Source organism: Homo sapiens, chromosome 2 (assembly GCF_000001405.40).
Source record: "Homo sapiens chromosome 2, GRCh38.p14 Primary Assembly".
In the NCBI taxonomy this organism is placed as follows: Eukaryota; Metazoa; Chordata; class Mammalia; order Primates; family Hominidae; genus Homo; species Homo sapiens.
The window spans coordinates 131763526-131783084 of record NC_000002.12 but is presented as its reverse complement, the minus strand read 5'-3'; the positions used below and the strand labels follow the sequence as shown (position 1 = coordinate 131783084).

The 19559-nt window shown below is 45.3% G+C and overlaps 1 long non-coding RNA gene and 1 pseudogene across 4 annotated transcripts in view, besides 2 other annotated features; both read right to left on the bottom strand.

Annotated features, from left to right (window-relative positions):
* Positions 7197-7744: an enhancer, noted in NCBI's record as "H3K4me1 hESC enhancer chr2:132532914-132533461 (GRCh37/hg19 assembly coordinates)". NCBI's record gives its function as "activates a minimal SCP1, AML or CMV promoter by ChIP-STARR-seq in primed H9 embryonic stem cells {active_cell/tissue: H9 hESC(primed)}" and the evidence as "EXISTENCE:reporter gene assay evidence [ECO:0000049][PMID:30033119]".
* Positions 15681-16927, bottom strand: CDRT15P4 (CDRT15 pseudogene 4; annotated as a pseudogene).
* The window catches only part of LINC03124 (long intergenic non-protein coding RNA 3124), an 84906-nt gene continuing 81027 nt past the window's right edge, over positions 15681-19559 (bottom strand). For all 4 annotated transcript variants that reach the window (NR_167888.1, NR_167889.1, NR_167887.1 and 1 more), the window contains one exon: positions 15681-16466. This is a non-coding gene — a long non-coding RNA (long intergenic non-protein coding RNA 3124). The remainder of the gene's footprint in view (positions 16467-19559) is intronic.
* Positions 16206-16707: an enhancer, noted in NCBI's record as "H3K4me1 hESC enhancer chr2:132523951-132524452 (GRCh37/hg19 assembly coordinates)". NCBI's record gives its function as "activates a minimal SCP1, AML or CMV promoter by ChIP-STARR-seq in naive H9 embryonic stem cells {active_cell/tissue: H9 hESC(naive)}" and the evidence as "EXISTENCE:reporter gene assay evidence [ECO:0000049][PMID:30033119]".

Here is a 19559-nt window from a genome sequence, read left to right as displayed (position 1 = left end):
TTTAATCTGGGCTCATACAAAGTCAATCATTCTTTGGTGCCTGGCAATGGTGGCCACTGCAGACACTTTAATCTTGGGCTAGGAATTGAAGTGCTTGCTCTGGAGCAGGGGAGCAGCCTCCACAGCCAGAATTGAGTGTTGAGTGTGGAAAGTGCCCCAGCAGTAGGTATTGGAATTAGGCTCTCTCCTCTTGCAGGACTGTAGTGGGAAGAGAGTTGCTAAAGCAGAGGTTTCTCAAGGACGGTGAGACTTGCAGCCAAGAACAGCTTTGCAACCTGGAACTGGTCTGTGTGTGTCATTGCTGGGTGTCCCAGCCTGCTCTCTTGGTCAGTTGAGAGAGTACCTCATCAGCTCCAAGAAGCAGGAGGGAGGTGAACCCCATTCCCCAGGAGACCTAAACTTTGGTGAGGACCAGCCCTAAGGGAAGGAGGAATACAGCTTGCCAAACCCACCCCTTGGGTCAAAGGAAACACGATCATGACATCAGCTGCTGAAAGGGGCACACCAAAGCCTGGGAACAGATTTAGAGAGGTGGTCATCTCTTGCCCTCTGTCCCCTTCCTAGTGCACTGCTGCAGACCCAGTAGTGGTCACCCTGTTGGGGCCCAAGGAACGTGAGCTGAAAGAGGCTGCTTCTTAGGTTTCTCCAGGACTCTGCCCCTGCTGAAGACTAGTACACATGGGGACAGGGCACTTTTGGCACTTTGTCACTTCTGCACCTGTCGTGGACAAGTACACAGAGGAGAAGACCCTGCAGCCAGCTGTTACTCTTAAGCACTGTCTACTGCACTGAAGCCTGAATTACACCACCAAACAAAAATACATCACCACATCAAGCCACCACAGGAGCCTATCTGCAACCAAGGAACTTGTACAGAGCCTTGGTCCTCTGAAAGTACCCAGAAATGAAGCAAACTGATCCTATACAACACACACCACAGTCACACCCTTAAGAGAAAGAAAGAATGAAAAATTAAAAAAAAAAACCTCCTTCCAAATGATATCAAATTCAACAAAAGAAGCATCAAGTCTCCCAGATGAGAAGAAACCAGCACAAGAACTCTGGCAATACAAAAAGCCAGAATGTTCCATCACCTCCAAAGGATTACACCAGCAACCTAGCAATGAGTCCTAACCAGAATGAAATGTCTGAAATGACAGGTATAGTATTCAAGATATAAGTGGCAAAAAAATTCACCAAAATCCAACAGAAAGTTGAATCCAACAACAACCCCATAACAACGATCCTGGATTTGAATGACAACATAGCTATATTGAGAAAGAACCAAGCAGAGCTTCTTGAATTGAAAAATTTACTATAGGAATTTCAAAAAACAGTTGGCAGCCTTAGCAACAGACTAGACCAAATAGAAAAAATAATTTAAGAGCTCAAAGACCAGACCTTCGAATCAACCCAGTCAGACAAAAATAAAAAAAAGAATTTAAAAATAATGAACCAAACTTTTGAGAAATATAGGATTATGTAAAGGAACAAAATCTATGACTTATTGGCATTTTTTTTTTTTGAGACAGAATCTCACTCTGTTACCCAGTCTGTAGTGCAGTGGCATGATCTTGGCTCACTGAAACCTCCACCTCCTGGGTTCAAGCAATTCTCGTGCCTCAACCTCCCAAGTATCTGAGATTACAGGCATGTGCCACCATGTCTGGCTAATTTTTGTATTTTTAGTAGAGATGGGATTTCGCCATGCTGGCCAGGTAGGTCTCAAACTTCTGGCCTCGAGTGATACTCCCACCTTGGCCTCCCAAAGTGCTGGGATTACTGGCATGAGCCACTGTGCCTGGCTGACTTATTGGCATTTCTAACAGAGAAGAAGAGAATGTAAGCAACTTGGAAAACATTTTTGAGGATATAATTCAGGAAAGTGTCCTCAATCTTGCTAGAGAGGTCCACCAGCTGATACAAGAAATCCAGAGAACTCCCGTGAGACTGAAGGTAGGCAGTGAAGCATATGTTTGCATTCTTGTGTGGCTCTGATTAGCATCAGGATATCTACATTTTACATAGGAAAGGAGGGAGCAGAGGAAACAGTTCATGTCGCATTCAGTAAATCTTCATTTTACATAAGATAAAGTAAGCATGTGAATAGAGGGAGTGGAATAGAGGAAAAGTCAATGATTCATTCATCTCAGGATAGGCAGAGGGATGATTTCTGGTCCTGACCTTGTCCCAGAACTATGAAAATAACCTGGTAATTGAGATTGTCAGGGTGAAATTGAGCTGACTCACTTTTAGGGCTAGTTTATAGGTGGGATGTGCATTCTGAAAGATTTAGGGGCTCACGGCAAATTGTGAGGGAGGACATGTGAGGAGACATGCGGCCTTCTGTCACTGTGGGAACCTGGCTTATGGATGAGGCTATGACACAGGGTTGTGAAGTTATAGCTATGTGTTTGAGAACAAGGAAGGAGTATTGCGTAACTCAGTTCCCAAGCTTAATTTTCCCTTTGACACAGTGAGCTTGGGGTTGGGTCTCTATTCTCTTTTCTCTCACAAAATCATATGGGAACATTCCAGAAAATGTGAGGTTCTGCGCTCACTATTAAATAAAAATGACCAGGAGAGCCATGGGTAAGCTCCCTCCTCAGTCATCAGGACCGCAACAGAGAGTTTTCCCCTGTGTGGACGGGGTCCTGAATTCTGCAGGATCCCGTGGGGACACAAGTGTCAGGATAGAGGCACTCATTCAGCCAGGTACAGTGTCTCATGCCTGTAATGTCAGCTACACTGGAGGCTGAGGTCGCCTTGAGGCCAGGATTTCGAGACCAACCTGGGCAACGGAGCAAGATCCCATATCTAAAAATAAAATTAGCCAGGTGTGGTGGCATGCACCTGTAATCCTAGTTACTTGGGAGGGAGGCTGAGGTGGGAGGATTGCTTGAGCCTAGGCGTTGGAGACTACAACGAGCTAGGATTACACCACTGCACTCCAGTCTCGGCAACAGTAAGACTCCGTCTGTAACAACAACCAACCAATTCTGTGTTTTGAGTGTAAATTACCATAGCCTTTGTAACAGAAATTAGGCAGCAACTCTCATCATTCAAAATGCATAAGCAATTTGGCTAAGCAATTGTACTTCTAGATTATTTACTTATTTATTTATTATTGGGACAGAGTCTCACTCTGTCTCCCAGACTGGAGTGCAGTGACATCATCTCAGCTCACTGCAGCCTCCGCCTTGTGGGTTCAGGCAATTGTCCTACCTCAGCCTCCCAAGTGGCTGGGGCTACAAGTGCGCATCACCATACCCAGCTAATTTTTGTATTTTTTGTAGAAACGGGGTTTTGCCATGTTGGCCAGGCTGGTCTCAAACTTCTGACCTCAGGTGATCCACCCACCTCGACCTCCCAAAGTGCTGGGATTACAGGCACTAGGTCCCTAATTTAGAGCCATATTCTTTAATGTCTGAAAGCACTCTTGCATATTTATTACTGCATTGTTTGAACTTAAATATCCACAACAGGATAACAGGATAACTAAACAGTTAATTGCCCTATGGCACATCCATCTGTTAACAAAATGAAATCGATCTTTTTGTACTGCGGTGGAAAGATTTTCTGAACATAGTTCAGGTAAAAAGAAAAAAAGACCACTGTTGAATAATGCTTCCGGTATAACACAATGTGCTTGAAAATGTACACAATACACTGTAATATCCAATACATACATCTATCAAAGTAAATATATTTTATTCTAGGGTAATTATTAAAACATTAAGAAATACTCTTTAATAGTATATGTTAAAACTTGTAGAAAATCAATAACATACAAGTAAAGAAGATCAAGAAGCCAAAAAAAGTAATTCCAAGTATAGGATGCATGGTGAAAAGTGATGGAAGAAAACTGCAGAAATTTAAAATGCAAAATTAAAATACAGCCCTATAATTCATGATACATAATTCTTCACTGAACCCCGAATCTGTCAGGACATATGTGTGATCTTGGATAACGCATTCAACCTCCTTGACACTGAAGTTTCTTGACTGTAAACTGTTTTAGAGATGTTCCTCACCCAGTTGCATGAAGCAAACCTCTGTGTGTTAAGGCACTTCCCACAGCATCTGCGACACAGAACAGTGGCAGCTGTGCTCTTCGTGGTCCCTGCACACAGACCCACAGCAGTATGTTGTGTTTTTTTTTTTTAATATAAAAGGCTTTGAAAATGTCCCACAGGTTCCTCAGTAACTGACTATCAAAAGGGGCAGCCTTCAAAAGTAGAATTCTGGCAAATGTCTTCAAAAGACACGAAATTCTGGCAATGGGCACATTTCCCCCTCCCGCCTTGCTCTTCTGGATGGATCCCTTCTCTCCCACAGCATATTCGTTTCCTTCCACTCCCCTGTAAAAATTGTCCTTCTAGTGGCAAGAGTGACGTAAGTGATATGCGGCAATTTCTTTCCAAGCCTGCTTGGAGGAGCTTCCTCTGCCTGCTTCTCTTTGGCCACCTCCAGGGCTGCTCTGTCACCCCCAACAGCATGGACCTCACTGCAGTCACTCTGGAAGCTTCCCTCAAAAGGAAGCTTGTGCAGGAAACATCATGCATCGAGCAGCATGGGGACAGGGGCTGGCCAGCTGGGCAGCGCTCACACTCCTGACACCCAGACTCCACGATACTCCTCTGTCCCCACCCAGGGCAGATCCCTGCCCTAAAAGTTTTCCCTCTCATGTCCAGCAAATGCTGCATGGAGCCCTGGAATTCTATGTGGAAAGCTAGGAAGAGGGAGAGCTGAAATGAGGATGTAATCACCCTTTCCAAAGAGGTCAGTCCAGTACTACCCTGTGCTCTACTGGGCAAGCTCTCCAGGCTGAGGGAACAGGAGCAGGGGTTATGTCAGGTGAAGGTGGAAGTGAGGGACCTCCCAGGAGGTGTAGAATACTCCACTAGGGACACCTTATACCCTTCCGGGATTAGACCTTGAGGCCTGGAGATCCCCAGGCAATTAGTATTGAAGGTTGAAAGGCCAATGACAGGAATAGGAAGGCCCACTGTGTCATTCACAAATCACTTCCAAACCCATCACCACAGGTGACCCTCACAACAACCCTGTGAGACCTGCAGGGCACGGGCTCTCACAAAGGAGGAGTCGGGAATGTCAAGATTTTAACACCTTCTCCAAGTCAGGATCAGAAAATGCTGCCCCAACACTGACCTATATTCCCTATGCTTCCTCCCACAAAAGAGCTTAGGGTGACTGCCAACTTGTGGGCAGAGACCCTCACTTTCCAATCCCCATGAGGGGCTGTGCAGTGGGGAGGATGAGGCCCCCTCCTCTAACTGTCTCCTCCAAGACCCTGTTTTCTGAGGAAGGTCACTCTGGGAACTGTTGGCCTCTGCAGATGGGGGCCTGGACCATGTGGAAAGATGACGTGAAGGTCACACCTGGCAGGGACCAGGGTTGGAGGGTAAACCTCACCTTTAAAAGCTCACACTTTTTATTTTAAATTTATTTTTATTTTTAATTTCTATGAGTACATAGTAGGTGTATATATTTATGGGGTACATGAGATAGTTTGACACAGGCATGCAATGTGTAATAATCACATCAGGGTAAATGGGGCATTCATCACCTCAAGCAAGGGAAATGCTAGATGCTTATAAAACCGTCAGATCACATGAGAACTCACTTACTATCATGAGAACAGCATGGGCGAAACTGCCGCCATGATTCAGTTACCTCTCACTGGGTCCCTCCCATGACACGTGAGGCTTATGGAAATTACAGTTCAAGATGACGACATTTGGGTGGCAACACAGCCAAACCATATCATCTTATAAAATGAATAATGTGAAAATAGCACTGGGCCTGAGGCCTGGCCCCTGCTGTGTGATGCCCCCTCTTGGGGAGAGCCTGGCTTCTGTGCCATGCAGAAACTTCCCTGTGCTTCCTGTGGGCTTGGGGTGAGCCAGGCCCTCCTGGGGGAGCTGGGCACTGTGGGACAGGAGGGTCCCTGGCCTGGGGTCTCCATTTGCCTCCTTACCCCATCAATGAAACACCAGAGGAACCAACTCAACAAACCTCAATGCACGGCCCTTCCTGGACCATAGGTGCTCACGGCCCCCTGAGCTGCCCTGGGGCAGAACACTGGGCAGTGGCCAGTGCTTCCCCAACAACTCCCCCATGCACAGATGCCTGGTGGACATACTTCCTTTAACCCTGCTCAGCTGGAGCTCAGCCCCCATCCTAGTACCTCTGCCTCCTCCTCCAGGGCAGGAAAAGAAAACCCAACCCCAAACCCATGGAGAATCCTCACCTTGGGCGAGGCCCTGGCTGGGACTCAGTCTCTTGTCAGACCCTCGAGGAGCTCCATCTTTCCCTGTTTCCCTGCCCCATGGGACCCCGGGCCTCTGGGAAAGAGTTGAGGGTGTCATCCACTCAGCAGGTACCGCATGATCTTTGGGAAGGATTTGTGTTATACCTGCTCCTGGTGGGATGGGAGCCTCTGGAGCTGGGCAGTATTTGGGCTGTAGAAAACTGAGAAGCCCCTGACCCATCAGGCATCAGAGCCCACTCCCAAGATGTGGAGCCCTCAGCTGGAAGAGCTGGGAAGTGGCAGGGGACCCCGGACCCTGAGGCCTTCCTCCCTTCCATCAGGTGACCCTAACACGTGGCCTCAGCTCTACGGAGGTGGGCCCTAGCCGGAGGCACTGCACAGCAGCATCCTGGGTAGAGGTGCCAGGAGGGCAGGCCTGCCTTTGAGGCTGTGAGGCAGGGCTGACGCAGGCAGTGGCCAGTGGAGGGAACCGGGTGGGTGCCAAGGGGCTACATGGCCTCTCCCAGACATGGGGTCGGGCTGGGGGACATGGGTTGGGCAGACACTGCCATCTCGACTGCATTGGCCCATCTGTGGGCTGGGACGGCAGCTGGGAGTGTGGCCAGCTGGGAGGTAGGAGGACTCTTGCGGAAGTGACAGTCACCTGCATGAACTCAGGGCTAGAGAGCTGTGGCTCTGGGACACACCGGGTGGCCAGGGGGAGGCTGCAGTGCCCTCTGCTGTTGGGGATGAAAGGTGCCTGCCTTGAAGTGAAAGGGTCCCTGTTCAGCTCTGGGCTCCTGTGGGACCCTCAGCAGGGATGTCCTGAAGGCTCCTGACAAGCTGGAAAGCAAGGAAGCTGCCTTGCCTGGAAGTCAGGATCGCCCAGCCAGGGTGGCCATCCCATGGCCTGGCTGTGTGAGGTCTGGGGGTAGCTGTCCGCCTACCCTGCAGGGAGTGCCTCTCCTCAGCCATCAGCTGATCCAGTGCCCAGAAGGTGTCTTCCTCTGGCAGATACAGGAGGAGGATGGCAGTTAGGCAGCTCATGTCCCTGTGCTAGCCCACCTCCTGCAAGGGCCAGAGTCACCATGGAAGCATGTCACCTGAGAGGGCTGAGGCCATCTGGGAGGACTCATGTCACTGGAGAGGACAGAGGTCACCTGGGAGACCTCCCTCTGGCCCTAGCGGATTTAGGGTGCAGACTCTGCACCCCTCCCCTGACCCTGGGCGTGAGGACTAAGCAAGTCCCCCACAACTCAGTTGAAAAGGGACCTGGAGGGACTTCTGCAGTGAGTGTCCAAACTCACGTAGTCCGAAGGGGCACAGGCAAGGATCATTCATGTCCCCTATCCTGGGACAGGCTGAGAAGGCCACTGTGCCAGGCCTGGGGCAGCACCTGTGAACTGCACCCACCACGAGGGCAGGCGATGGGCCACTGATCACCACACAATGGGTCCTGTGATGGCGCAGGGGCTGCCTGCCAGGCACAGGAGGGCGGCTGGGTCCAGACCCCACGTGGGCAGCCCATGGAGTGAGCTCAGCGGCTCTCCGTGCCTGGAATGGTCTGGGAAGTGGGGGCCAAGCAGGAACAGCCACCTGGGTGACCTCCTCCCTGTCTACTGTGCTCCTACGGGGTTAAGGCAAAGGGAAATTGGATCCCTGCCAGGTTTCCAATGAAAAGGTTTCCTCAGGATGCAAACTCATTTCATGACAAGAGCCTGGCCCCATCAGGCACCTCAGCAGCTTGTCAAACATGTCTCCTGCAAGGACTATCCTGTGTGCAACACTGCTAAGCTCCTTGTTTGGGGCAGCACCAGGAGGGGAGGGTCATTTCTTCTTCTGAGACATGGTGGTTGGGTCCAGGCGACATCAACAGTCTGGGCCCTGACCCCTTTCTATCTCAGCGGGACCCCTTGAGACACCAGCTTCCCGTCCGTGCTTGGGTGTCCACGCCAGCAGTTCTACCTACTACGTTATTACAGCCAGATCAGGATAAATGTCCTCTCTCTGGAATAAATGCAGTGACCACTGTTCTTTGAGCATTATTTATCTTAAATTATTGTTTTAATTAGAAATGTATCTAACTTATATTAGCCAAATTTCCTTTCAGTGTAACCAAATTTCTTTTAAGTGAAAATTAAATATTTACCTCCTGTTATCAAGCATTCTATGAATACAAAATATTTATTTTTTTCAACTTTAGAAGAAATTGAAAATGTCTACATGCTACTAATCTAAAAATACAGGCTCTGGGTTTATATGGTGTTAACCTTTCTTCCAAATTTTAAGGAATAGATATTTAAATGCCATCCACTTTGTTTTAAAACACATAAAATGTTTTAAGCTTTTGACCTCAAAATTTACAGTAGCACAGCTACTCCGTAATGAATAAACCACAGAATCAAAACAAAGAAAGATTCTACAGACCAGTCTAACCAACAATACAATTATAAACTAGTGGTTCAAATATCAAAAACCAATTTCAATGACAAATACATGGTATGAAAACCCCGCAAAGGTCAAGTAGAATATATTATACTTGAATGAAATTATGAGTTGAGAGTAGGAAATCTATGGTTAACCAAACAAATTAAATAATGTTTATGAGGAAATTATACTGCTAATGTTTTATTATTTGGCAAGCTATTCAGTGGAACACAAAGATATTCTTAATGAAGTTGAAAATATATTTTAAAATGTTATTAAAGTGGATTAAAAATAATGAGGACATGAATAACTTTAAAAAGTATTCAGGGATAAAGAGAGAAAAATAAATTTAGATTTCATACATAATTAAAATATATTTTAAAAGTTGTGCTTTTTGGTTGCTCAAATAAAAGGAGCAGATACTTAAATTCCATGCTTTTCATTTTAAAGTTTAGGAAATGCTTATAGCTTTCCACACTGACATTTATACTAACACAGTTAATCTAATCTAATCTAATCTAATCGATAACAAAATCAAAACAAGCAGAATTCTCTTGACCAATCTATTTCCTTGATTTTTAAAAGTAAATGTACTCTCAAAGAAACAAAACTATTATTCCTGGATTCTGTTATTTGAAAATATTTACTGATCATTTACCTTACACCAAGTGATCTCCAGCTCATGGAAAAATATGTAACGTTGCCCAGCTTCATTAAGCTTAAACTCTTCTGAAGAAGAAAAGAAGCAATGGAGTAGGGACATTAAAGCAGGAGTGTGGTGATACGGCTGAGACTTCTACTTGCACACTGTGGTAGCTGTGTGGAGACTGGATTGAAAAAAGGGCAATGACAGAAGCTTAAATTAGTATCAAATATAGTAATCCTATAATTTTAAGGGTCCTTGAAATAAGAATGTATAATAGTTCTCATTATTTCCCCAAGAAATCTCTGCACTTGGCCTTGTGAGAGAAGCGCTATAGTTACCAAGTGGTGGGGGTGGGAATGTGAATTTGGAAACAACATTTGGAATTATTATACTTTAAAGGTAAAGCTGGCAGGAATTCCATACACATCAGATCTGAAAATGTGTGTGTGTGTGTGTGCGTGTGTCTGTCTGTGTGTGTTTGTGTGTGTGTGAAGCAGGGAGAGAGAGCAAGAGTGACAGTGAGCAAGAGAGAGAGGAGAGAGAGGGAGAGAATCAGATACAGAAAGAGAGTGACAGAGCTACAGAGACAGAATTAAAAGGGGACACCAAGAATATTGAGCTGAGAAACTATAAAATGGGAGTTGCCATTAAACAGAATGGGGAAGAGCAAATTTGGGGAGTTTCAGTGGCTCCATATAGACATATTAATTTTGAGATTCCTAACTGACATCCATGTGGATAAGTCAGGGAGTGCTGGGTGTAGTGTCCAGTGTTTAAGTGTAATGTGAAATATCAGGAAATTAATGACACAAAAATCAGTAAGAAAGCAAAGATAAGAAAGATAAGCAGTCAAAGTCGTGAGCCTAATCGTCCTCTGACATTTAAAAAATAGTAAAGATGAAACCTGCAAAAAAGGACTAGAGGTAATTATCAAAAACATGGTGGAGGGAAAGTAGGTTAAGTGTTCTGGAATTCTATAAAAAAAGTTTTACAAAGAGGAGGAGGAGATCAACTGTGTGAAATGCTGCTGATATATAAATTAAGACGAAGTCCGAGGAGTTATGGTTCAATTTATAATTTAACAATATGCATAGCACTTATGTTTTGATACGAACAGCTTCGTTGGAGTGAGTAGGTGAGAAACCATATTGGAGTGTTTGCTGAAATGAAAGTCTGATCTCTGGATTCTTAAGGAAAAATTTTATTGGACTGCAGAGGCATAAATTGGATTTCTAATTCTGGAGTCAGGATGTGCTCAGTAAACATGTGCCCATCAATGCCTCCTCGCATTTTTTTTTAGCTAGGTATTCTGTTATCTTTTAATAATACAATAATTACCTGCAAAACCTACACCCATTTTGCACATTTTGCAGCAAACCATGACACATGTATATCTATGTAACAAACCTGCACGTTCTGTACATTTATCCCATAACTTAAGTATATATATATATATATATATATATATATATATATATATATATATATTTGTGTCTGTGTGTGTGTATACATATATATATGTATATACTTGTGTGTGTGTGTGTGTGTGTGTATATATATATATATAAAAGAAAGAAAAAGAAAACCCAGCCAAGTGCGGTGGCTCATGACTGTAATCCCAGCACTTTGGGAGGCTGAGACAGGTGGACCATCTGAGGTCAGGATTGAGAACAGCCTGGCCAACATGGTGAAACCCTGTCTTTACTATAAATACAAAAATTAGCTGGGTGTGGTGGGGGGCACCTGTAGTCCCAGCTACTTGAGAGGCCAAGGCAGGAGAATCACTTGAATCTGGAAGGCAGAGACTGCAGTGAGCCAAGATCACACCACAGCACTACAGTCTGGGTGACAGGGTGAGACTGTCTCAAAAAACAAAAACAAAAACAAAAAAACACCCATTTAATTGACAAACTTTACAAAGACTGATACTGGAGGTTGTTGGAGAGGACGTTGTTCCACATAATATCTTATGAGTTGCCGATGGACAAGTAAGATGGTAAAATGCCTTTGAAAAACTGACAATACCTGCTATACTTAAATATTCAGATACCAAACACCCAGAAATTCCATCTTGTCATTTATTTCCACAAGAAAAAACAAGAGACCTGTATTAAAATATCCACTTCTATTAAAAATAATCACACTACGTTTCCTGAAATTTTTTTATTAATAGCTCTTGTTTTCAGCAGTACAACCTCTAATATATGTGTATATGTGTATCTATACATACACATATACACATATATGTATAGTATATATACACATACACACATATATGTATATGTATATATACACATACGCACATATATGTATATGTATATATACACATACGCACATATATGTATATGTATATATACACATACGCACATATATGTATATGTATATGTATATGTATATATACACATATACACATATATGTATATGTATATATACACATATACACATATATGTATATGTATATATACACATATACACATATATGTATATGTATATATACACATACACATATATGTATATGTATATGTATATATACACATACACATATATGTATATGTATATGTATATATACACATATACACATATATACATATATGTATACATATATGTGTATATATATACACATATATATACATATATGTATACATATATGTGTATATATACACATATATATACATATATACATATACATATATATGTGTATGTATATATACACATATACATATATATGTATATGTGTATATATATTAGACAGATATATATGTACATATACATATATATGTATATGTATATGTATATGTATATGTATATGTATATGTATATGCATATATAATATACATATACATATATGTATATGTATAAATATATTATGTATATATATACACACATGTATATATGTATATATACAAAATGTATGTATAGATATTAGACAGAGTTTTGCTCTTGTTGCCTAGCCTGGAGTGCAATGGTTCAATCTCGGCTCACTGCCACCTCCACCTCCCGGATTCAAGCGATTGTCCTGCTTCTGCCTCCCGAGTAGCTGGGACTACAGGCATGTGCCACCACCCTCGGCTAATTTTGTATTTTTCGTAGAGATGGGGTTTCACTAAGTTGGTGAGGCTGGTCTCGAACTCCTGACCTCAGGTGATCCACCTGCCTCGGCCTCCCAAAGTGCTGGGATTACAGGCATGAGCCACTGTGCCCGGCCTATTTTGTATTTTTTAATCTACCACACTCTAAGAACACATATTTTAAATCAATTTGTACATTCAGTGCCTAGAACAAAACCAGCATTTTGTAGATTCCAAAGAATTATTTGTTGTATAAATGATGAGTAACTTAAACAAGTTATTATTTATAACATCTATATACAAACAATATATTACCTCAGAATACAGTGATAACATTTGTTATGTATGATTTCAATTTCAGTTAAAAATATTTTTTGCATGAGTTATTGTCATATACAGATGCTCACATTGTTTTGTTTATATGAAAATGTTTGTAACTACTATGCACATTTTTGCTACTTAAGCCTTTTGGTCTTGCTGCCGTAGCAAATACTGTGCCTCTTAAGAACATGAACCTGTTTTACTTCATTTTTTAGCAGATTTCTTAATGAAATATATAGCATACTATTTTGTTTAACACATAAGCAGACACCCTGTCAGAAGCAGAGACATCTACTCCACCATTACCACCCATCCCTCTACTAATGTGGCTGCTGAAGATGTTACCTAGAGCAGAGGACTTTGTGTTCAACCTAAGCACTTTATATCCTTTATTTTCAATTGGGTAGGAGATAAAATAATTCAGCAGCAATAAAAGTCACACTTCTTAAAGTTGCAGTCTCGCCAAGGCACCACAATGTAGCAGTCTCTCTTGTGAGGTATCACCTGGAGTTCTTTATCTCACCACCAAGATGATTAAGGAACCGGGACACACGGGTGAGGTTGGAGTGAAAGTTTAATAAGCAAAAGGAGGAAGCTCTCTGCAGCAGACAAGGGCGTCCAAGTGGATTGCCGTTTTTACAGTTGAATCAAAAAGCTTTTATAAGAAACTCCTCTCAGCTATGTATAAAACTGTCTGCACAATTCCCTTCATATATCCAGCTGTGGGTATCTCTCTAGTCAAGCACAAAGTGGGCTTCTCTTGTTGTATAACTGTGGGTTTGTTTTAGGTAAGCCCCCCTCCTCCCTGTGTAAGTTCCCACAGAGGCCACCGTGTATATGCCTGAAAAAGGGAGGAAAATTTTTCCTGGGAGCTTGCCAATTACACAAAGAACAGAAGGCGTCTGTGCTGGACCCTGCATGCTCATCTGTGCAGGGCTTATCTGTAGGTGCAGTAGTTGTGATTTTTCAGGCAGACAGCTTCCCTGAGGACCAGTCTCTTTCTTGTTTACTCAACTAATTTTCCTTTCCTTCTCCCTCAACATTGTGCAGCAAAACAGAATACACTTCTCTTTCCCAGTAAATCAGTGTTGGTACTCCACTCTGAATACTTGTATTATTGGATTTCTTAGAAAAAAATATTTGGGATCATAATTTAGATGCCATCAAACAATGAACAAAAATATGCTACTTCGTTTCCCTTCTCTTCTCTTGTTACCAGACAACAGCTAGTTTTCTTTTCTCTCCAACTCCTTTTTTCTGTGCTTCTACCTGATTTTTAGAAAAACTTCTACACATTTCCGATCTTAGTACAGCAGACATCAAATATGTGGTCAAACTACATACATAGGAAGAGTTGAATTATATAATTATATTCAAGCATTTTAAAATAATTCCCCTTCAGTTTGTTTTGCAGTTATTTTACATAATCAAATGTCTTCTTGATATACGTCCCAACCCAGTGGTTGTCAAGCTCTGCTTTGTTTTCTAACTGCATCAGATTTATCCACAATTTTTTTTTTTTGGAGATGGAGTCTCACTGTTGCCCAGGCTGGAGTGCAGTGGCATGATCTCAGCTCACTGTCATCTCTGCCTCCCTGATTCAAGTGATTCTCCTGCCCCAGCCTGCCAAGTAGCTGGGACTACAGGCGTGCACCATCATGCCTGGCTAATTTTTGTATTTTTAGTAGAGATGAAGTTTCACCATGTTGGCCAGGCTGGTTTTGAATTCCTGACCTCAAGTGATCCACCTGCCTAGGCCTCCCTAAATAAGAATTATCCAAAATTCTTATGATAAATATGGATAAATCAGCACAACTCAAGATTTAAGAAATAAAAACTTCCAAGAGAAGAAACCCAGGAATATGCATTGAAAATGTCTCCCTCACGTGATTCTGATGTGATATGTGGTCTGAGTTTAAAATGTAAGGAAAATTACCTTCCCTGCCCTCCAGTTGGCCCTTATGTCCAGATGTCCCTCTTTCCCTTTCTCATTGTGCTCTCTCCTTCTGTGCCTTTGTTCTATTCTCCCTCCACTTCTCATCCAGATGCCAAGCCCTCTTGCATCATTTGTCCTAAAACTCCAAATGGTCAGTTGCCTCTAAACTTCCCTCTGTCCCATGAACAAGTTATGCAGGCAAATGTAGAATTTAAGCTTGGACCAAGCTGAATCAAGAGCTGCAATTAAAGATTTCCCTAAGCCCAGAGGGGACCAGCAAATACTTATAGGTGATTTTGGATTTCCTCTGAGTGCATAAGGCTCTGGGTAACCTGATGCTATAGACCAAATGTTATTGTCCCCTCAAATTCAAGTGTTGAAATCTAATTCCCTATGTGATGATATTTGGAGGTAGGGCCTTAGAGAATGATTAGATCATGAAGGCAGGGACCACATGAGTGGGATTAGTAGCCCCTATTGAAGGCACCATAGAGAGCTCCCTCATCCCTTCTGTCATGTGAGGACATGGTAGAAACATGGCTGTCTATGAACCACAAAGCAAGCCCACACCAGACCTGCAATCTGCTAACCACTTGACCTTGAATTTTGCTATCTCCAGAACTGAGAGAAACAAATTTGTTCATAAGCTTCCTCATCTATGGCATTCTGTTTTGACCCAAGATTAGCTAAAAACACCAAAATATCAACTTGTACACCAAATTTTGGAAATGGATGCTAAAACTTTGATGGCAAAAGGTGACTGATCTGCCAGAGAAATGAAACCTACATGATCCCTCTTTCCACAAGGCTGAAGGGAGAGTCAACACAAGCAAAAATAGGTCAAAGTCTTCTAAAAGCCAAAAGCCATACCTGAAGGGTTTTCAATATCACTTGATCAGATGGTAATTTAATCACAGAAAGAACCACAACAAAACACACAACTATCAGAGGTTTTCAACATCGCCTCAAAAACACCATCTACAATATTAGGGAGTGAAAGAAGCCATGGAAGTTTCAAAAAGTCAAACTTTATTCAGTGTTATGGTAGAAATTTGAAATTCTTAGGTAAGCTATGAATAAATCCTTGGGCAGGTGCAGGCATACAGATTCTGGGGTGCAGCTGCTGAGTTTAAAAGCTTCCTTTGGAGATGCCCCCTGGCCCCCTCACCCCCTGTCCGCCTGTCAAGAGGAGGCCATCCTGGGCAGCACGTTAGGGGCAAATGGCCCAGATGCCCAGCTGAGGGCAAACCTCCATGCCTGGAGGAGGAGGTCGCCTCTGGGAGCAGGAGGACCTGCTGGAACCCCTGCTCACAGGCTCCTTTTCTTGCTCTCCAGCACCTCCTGCAGGCAGGCAAACAGCCCCAGCAGCAGTAGCAGCAGGCCCTTCAGCAGCAGGGCTGCTGCTCTGCTGAATGAGAGAAGTCCCTCTCCAGTGAGGCAGAGGAGCCCAGATTGCAAACCCTGGTCTCTGCCTCCATAGCTTCCACTGTGCCCAGGACTGGGAGCAGTGTGGGAGCTGCTGGCTGGAGCTGTGCTGGCCACCCCTCTCTGCCACCTCTAGCTCCAGCCACACTTTCAGCTCCAGGGCTGAGGCCGGTGGCTCTACAGGAGGTGCCATGAAGTCAGGCAGCTCCTCACTGGGCTGGTCCTGGGCAGTCCCAGGGCAGCGGCAGGAGGGCTCTGGAGCTTCCTCTAGCTCCAGCGCTGTCCCTGGAGGGGAATCTGCCCCTGGTGCTGGCACTGGCTCAACAGCTGGCACTGGAAATCGCTGTATTTCTGCACCTGAAGCAGGAGCTGAAAAAGGAGAGAGGTCACCAATACCACTCACTTTCCACTGGAATTTCCAAACATGAAAACAACCTCATTGAATTTAAAGGAATTTCAGCCTGAAAACATTGTCCCTGGAAAGACTTCCAGACTGCAGGTGACCTCAGCATGTGCCTGTGTCTCAATGAGCTCCAGAGGCTCCAGCTGGACAAGGACAATGTGCAGATGTGGCCCTGGTGGGATCACTGGTGAGGCCTGGCCTGGTAGCTCCATCTGGGGCCTGATGTCTACCTGGTGACTCCTGTCCTGTGGTACCTGGGCGGGGGGCTTCTGCCAAATGGCCAGAGGCATCTGGGGTGAGGGATGAGCCTACAAGGGCGTCATCAGCAAAGAAAGGCTCTCAGTCCTGCCATTCCTGAAGCAGGAGCCTTGAGATGTGGGGATGCAGCACAAGAACATCTTGCTCTCTTGAGCGTCTCCCACCAAGTGAGCTGGCTATGGGGCTAATGCTAGGATGTGGGTGCCCGGTTATCGGGATTCTTTTTTTTTTTTGAGACATAGTCTCATTCTGTTGGCCAGGCTGGAGTGCAGTGGCATGATCTCGGCTCACTGCAACATCCACCTACTGGGTTCAATCAATTCTCCTGCCTCTGTCTCCTGAGTAGCTGGGATTACAGGCATGAGACACGCACCACCACACCTGGCTAGGTTTTTTGTGTTTGTTTGTTTTTTGTATTTTTAGTAGACATGTGGTTTTACCATGTTGGTCAAGCTGGTCTCGATCTCCTGATTTCATGATCCTCCTGCCTTGGCCTCCCAAAGTGCTGGGATTACAGGTGTGAGCCACCGTGCCTGGCCTGGTTACCAGAATTCTAAGTTCTGTTAGGGTCTGTTGCCAAGGAAGTGAGGTCGCTTCTTTAAGTTTCCATCCCCTCGGCCTCCTCCTTCCAGAAAACCTTCTCAGGACCCCAGTGGGCTGCTGACTGCTCACCCTCCCCACAGGTCAACTCCTTACCTGTACACAGTTATGTCCACCCAGGGCCTGCTTGGACACCTGCACCTGATGTTCACCAGAGACCTAGGAATCCACTTGCAGCCTGGGATCCTACAGGGGCCTAATGTTACCCTGCAGATTGGGTAGCCACCTGGGGACCAGGTATCAACCTGGGGACTGTGGTTGACCTGCGGGCTAATGTCCACCTGGGGACTGGTTACTCACCTGAGGCCTGATGTGCACCTGGGGCCCGATGTCCCCCTCAGGGTGAATTCCACCTCAGGCCTGTATGTCCACCTGGGGCCTGATGTCTGCCTTAGGTCTATGTCCCACTGGGACCTTATGTTCACCAGGGACTGGTATCCAGCTGTGGCCTGATGACCTACTGCATTCTGTTGCTCACCTATGGGCTGGTGTCTACCTGGGGCTTGGTGATCACCTGGGAGCTGGATATCAGCCTGGGGCCTGGGTGTCCACTTAAGGCCTGATGTGTGCCTGGGGCCTGATTGTCCACCTGGGGACTGGGTGTCCACCTTGGGTCTGATGTCTACCTGAAGTTATTTATCTACCTAAGGCTTGGTGTCTACCTGTGGCCTGATGTCCACATGAGTCTGGGGTTCGGTTGGGGCCTGCTGTACATCTGGGACCTTGGTGTCTATCTGAGGCCAGATGTCTACCTGGTGACTGCCATCCTCTTGAGGCCTGATATCCACCTGGGAATGGTTTATCCATGGAAACGGTTATGTCCACCTGGAGCTGGATGTCGCCCAGGAGCTAGATGTCCACCTGTGGCCCCGTGTCCACCTAGGGCCTGATGTCCACAAGTTGGCCTGGTATTCATCTGGGGCCTTCATGCTAATGTGGCTTAATGTACTCCTGGGTTCTAGTGTCCTCTTGGGACCTGATGTCTACCAGGATCCTGGTATCCACCTGGGGCCTGGTATCCACCTAGGGCTTGATATTCACCTGGGGCCTAAGAATCCACTTGATAACTGGTGCTCATCAGGGTCCTGATGTTCACCTTGGGACCGGGTAACCACCTGAGGCCTGATGTCTACTTAGGGCATAAGTGTTTATCTGGGGTCTAGTGTTCACATGGGGCCTGATGTCAACCTTGAGCCTAGGTATTCATCAGGGGACGAGTGTCCAGCTGGGGCCAGATGTTCACTTGGGGTCTGGTGTCAACTTGAAGCATGGTTGTCAACCTAGGACCTGATGTCCAGTCCAGTGTCCACCTTGGGCCTGTTTTCTAACTGGGGCCTGTGTGTCCACATAGACCCTGGTGTCAATTTGGGGCCGGGGTATTAACAAGGGGCCTGGATATTCATTGGTACATTATGTCTACTGGGGTCTTTGTGTCAATCTGAGCTCTGATGTCCACCTAGAGATTGGGTATCCACCTAAGGCCTGGTGTTTACATGGGGCCTGTAACACGAGGTTCCAGATGAACTCGGATGTCCACCTGAGGCCTCATGTCCACCTGAGTTCTGAGTGTTCACATAGGGCCTGCCATCAACTTGGGACCTAAGTATTTACCTAGGGCCTGGGTGTCCACCTGGGGCCTGACTTCCAACTAGCTCTTGTGTCAACATGGGGCCTGATGTCCACTTTGGGCCTAGGTAACTTCCTGATGACTAATGCACACATGGCTCCTAAGGACCATCTGAGGCCTGGTATTAATTTAGAGACTGGTATCCACCTGGGGTCCAGGTATCCACTTGGGACCTGATGTTCACCTGGAGTGTAGGAATTCACGTGGGGCCTGGTGTCCACCTTGAGTGTGTGTATCCAACTGAGTGCTGGTGTCCACCTGGAGTCCAGTGTATACCTGGGGCCTGATGTACATATGGGGCCTGGGCATCCATCTAGGACCTGATGTTCAGATAAGGGCTGGCGTTCTCCTGGCCTGGTGTCCATGTGGAGCCTGGGTGTACATTTGGAGCCTGATGTCCCAGGTGGATACCTGGGCCCCAGTGGTCATCAGATCCTAGGAAACTCTCAGGCCCCAGGTGCACATAAAGCTCCAAGTGGCCACCTAGGCCACAGGTTGATACACAGGGTCCAGGTGGACACTGGGTGCAAGATGAACACCAGGCCCCTGGTGAACGCCAAGCCCCAGGTGTCTG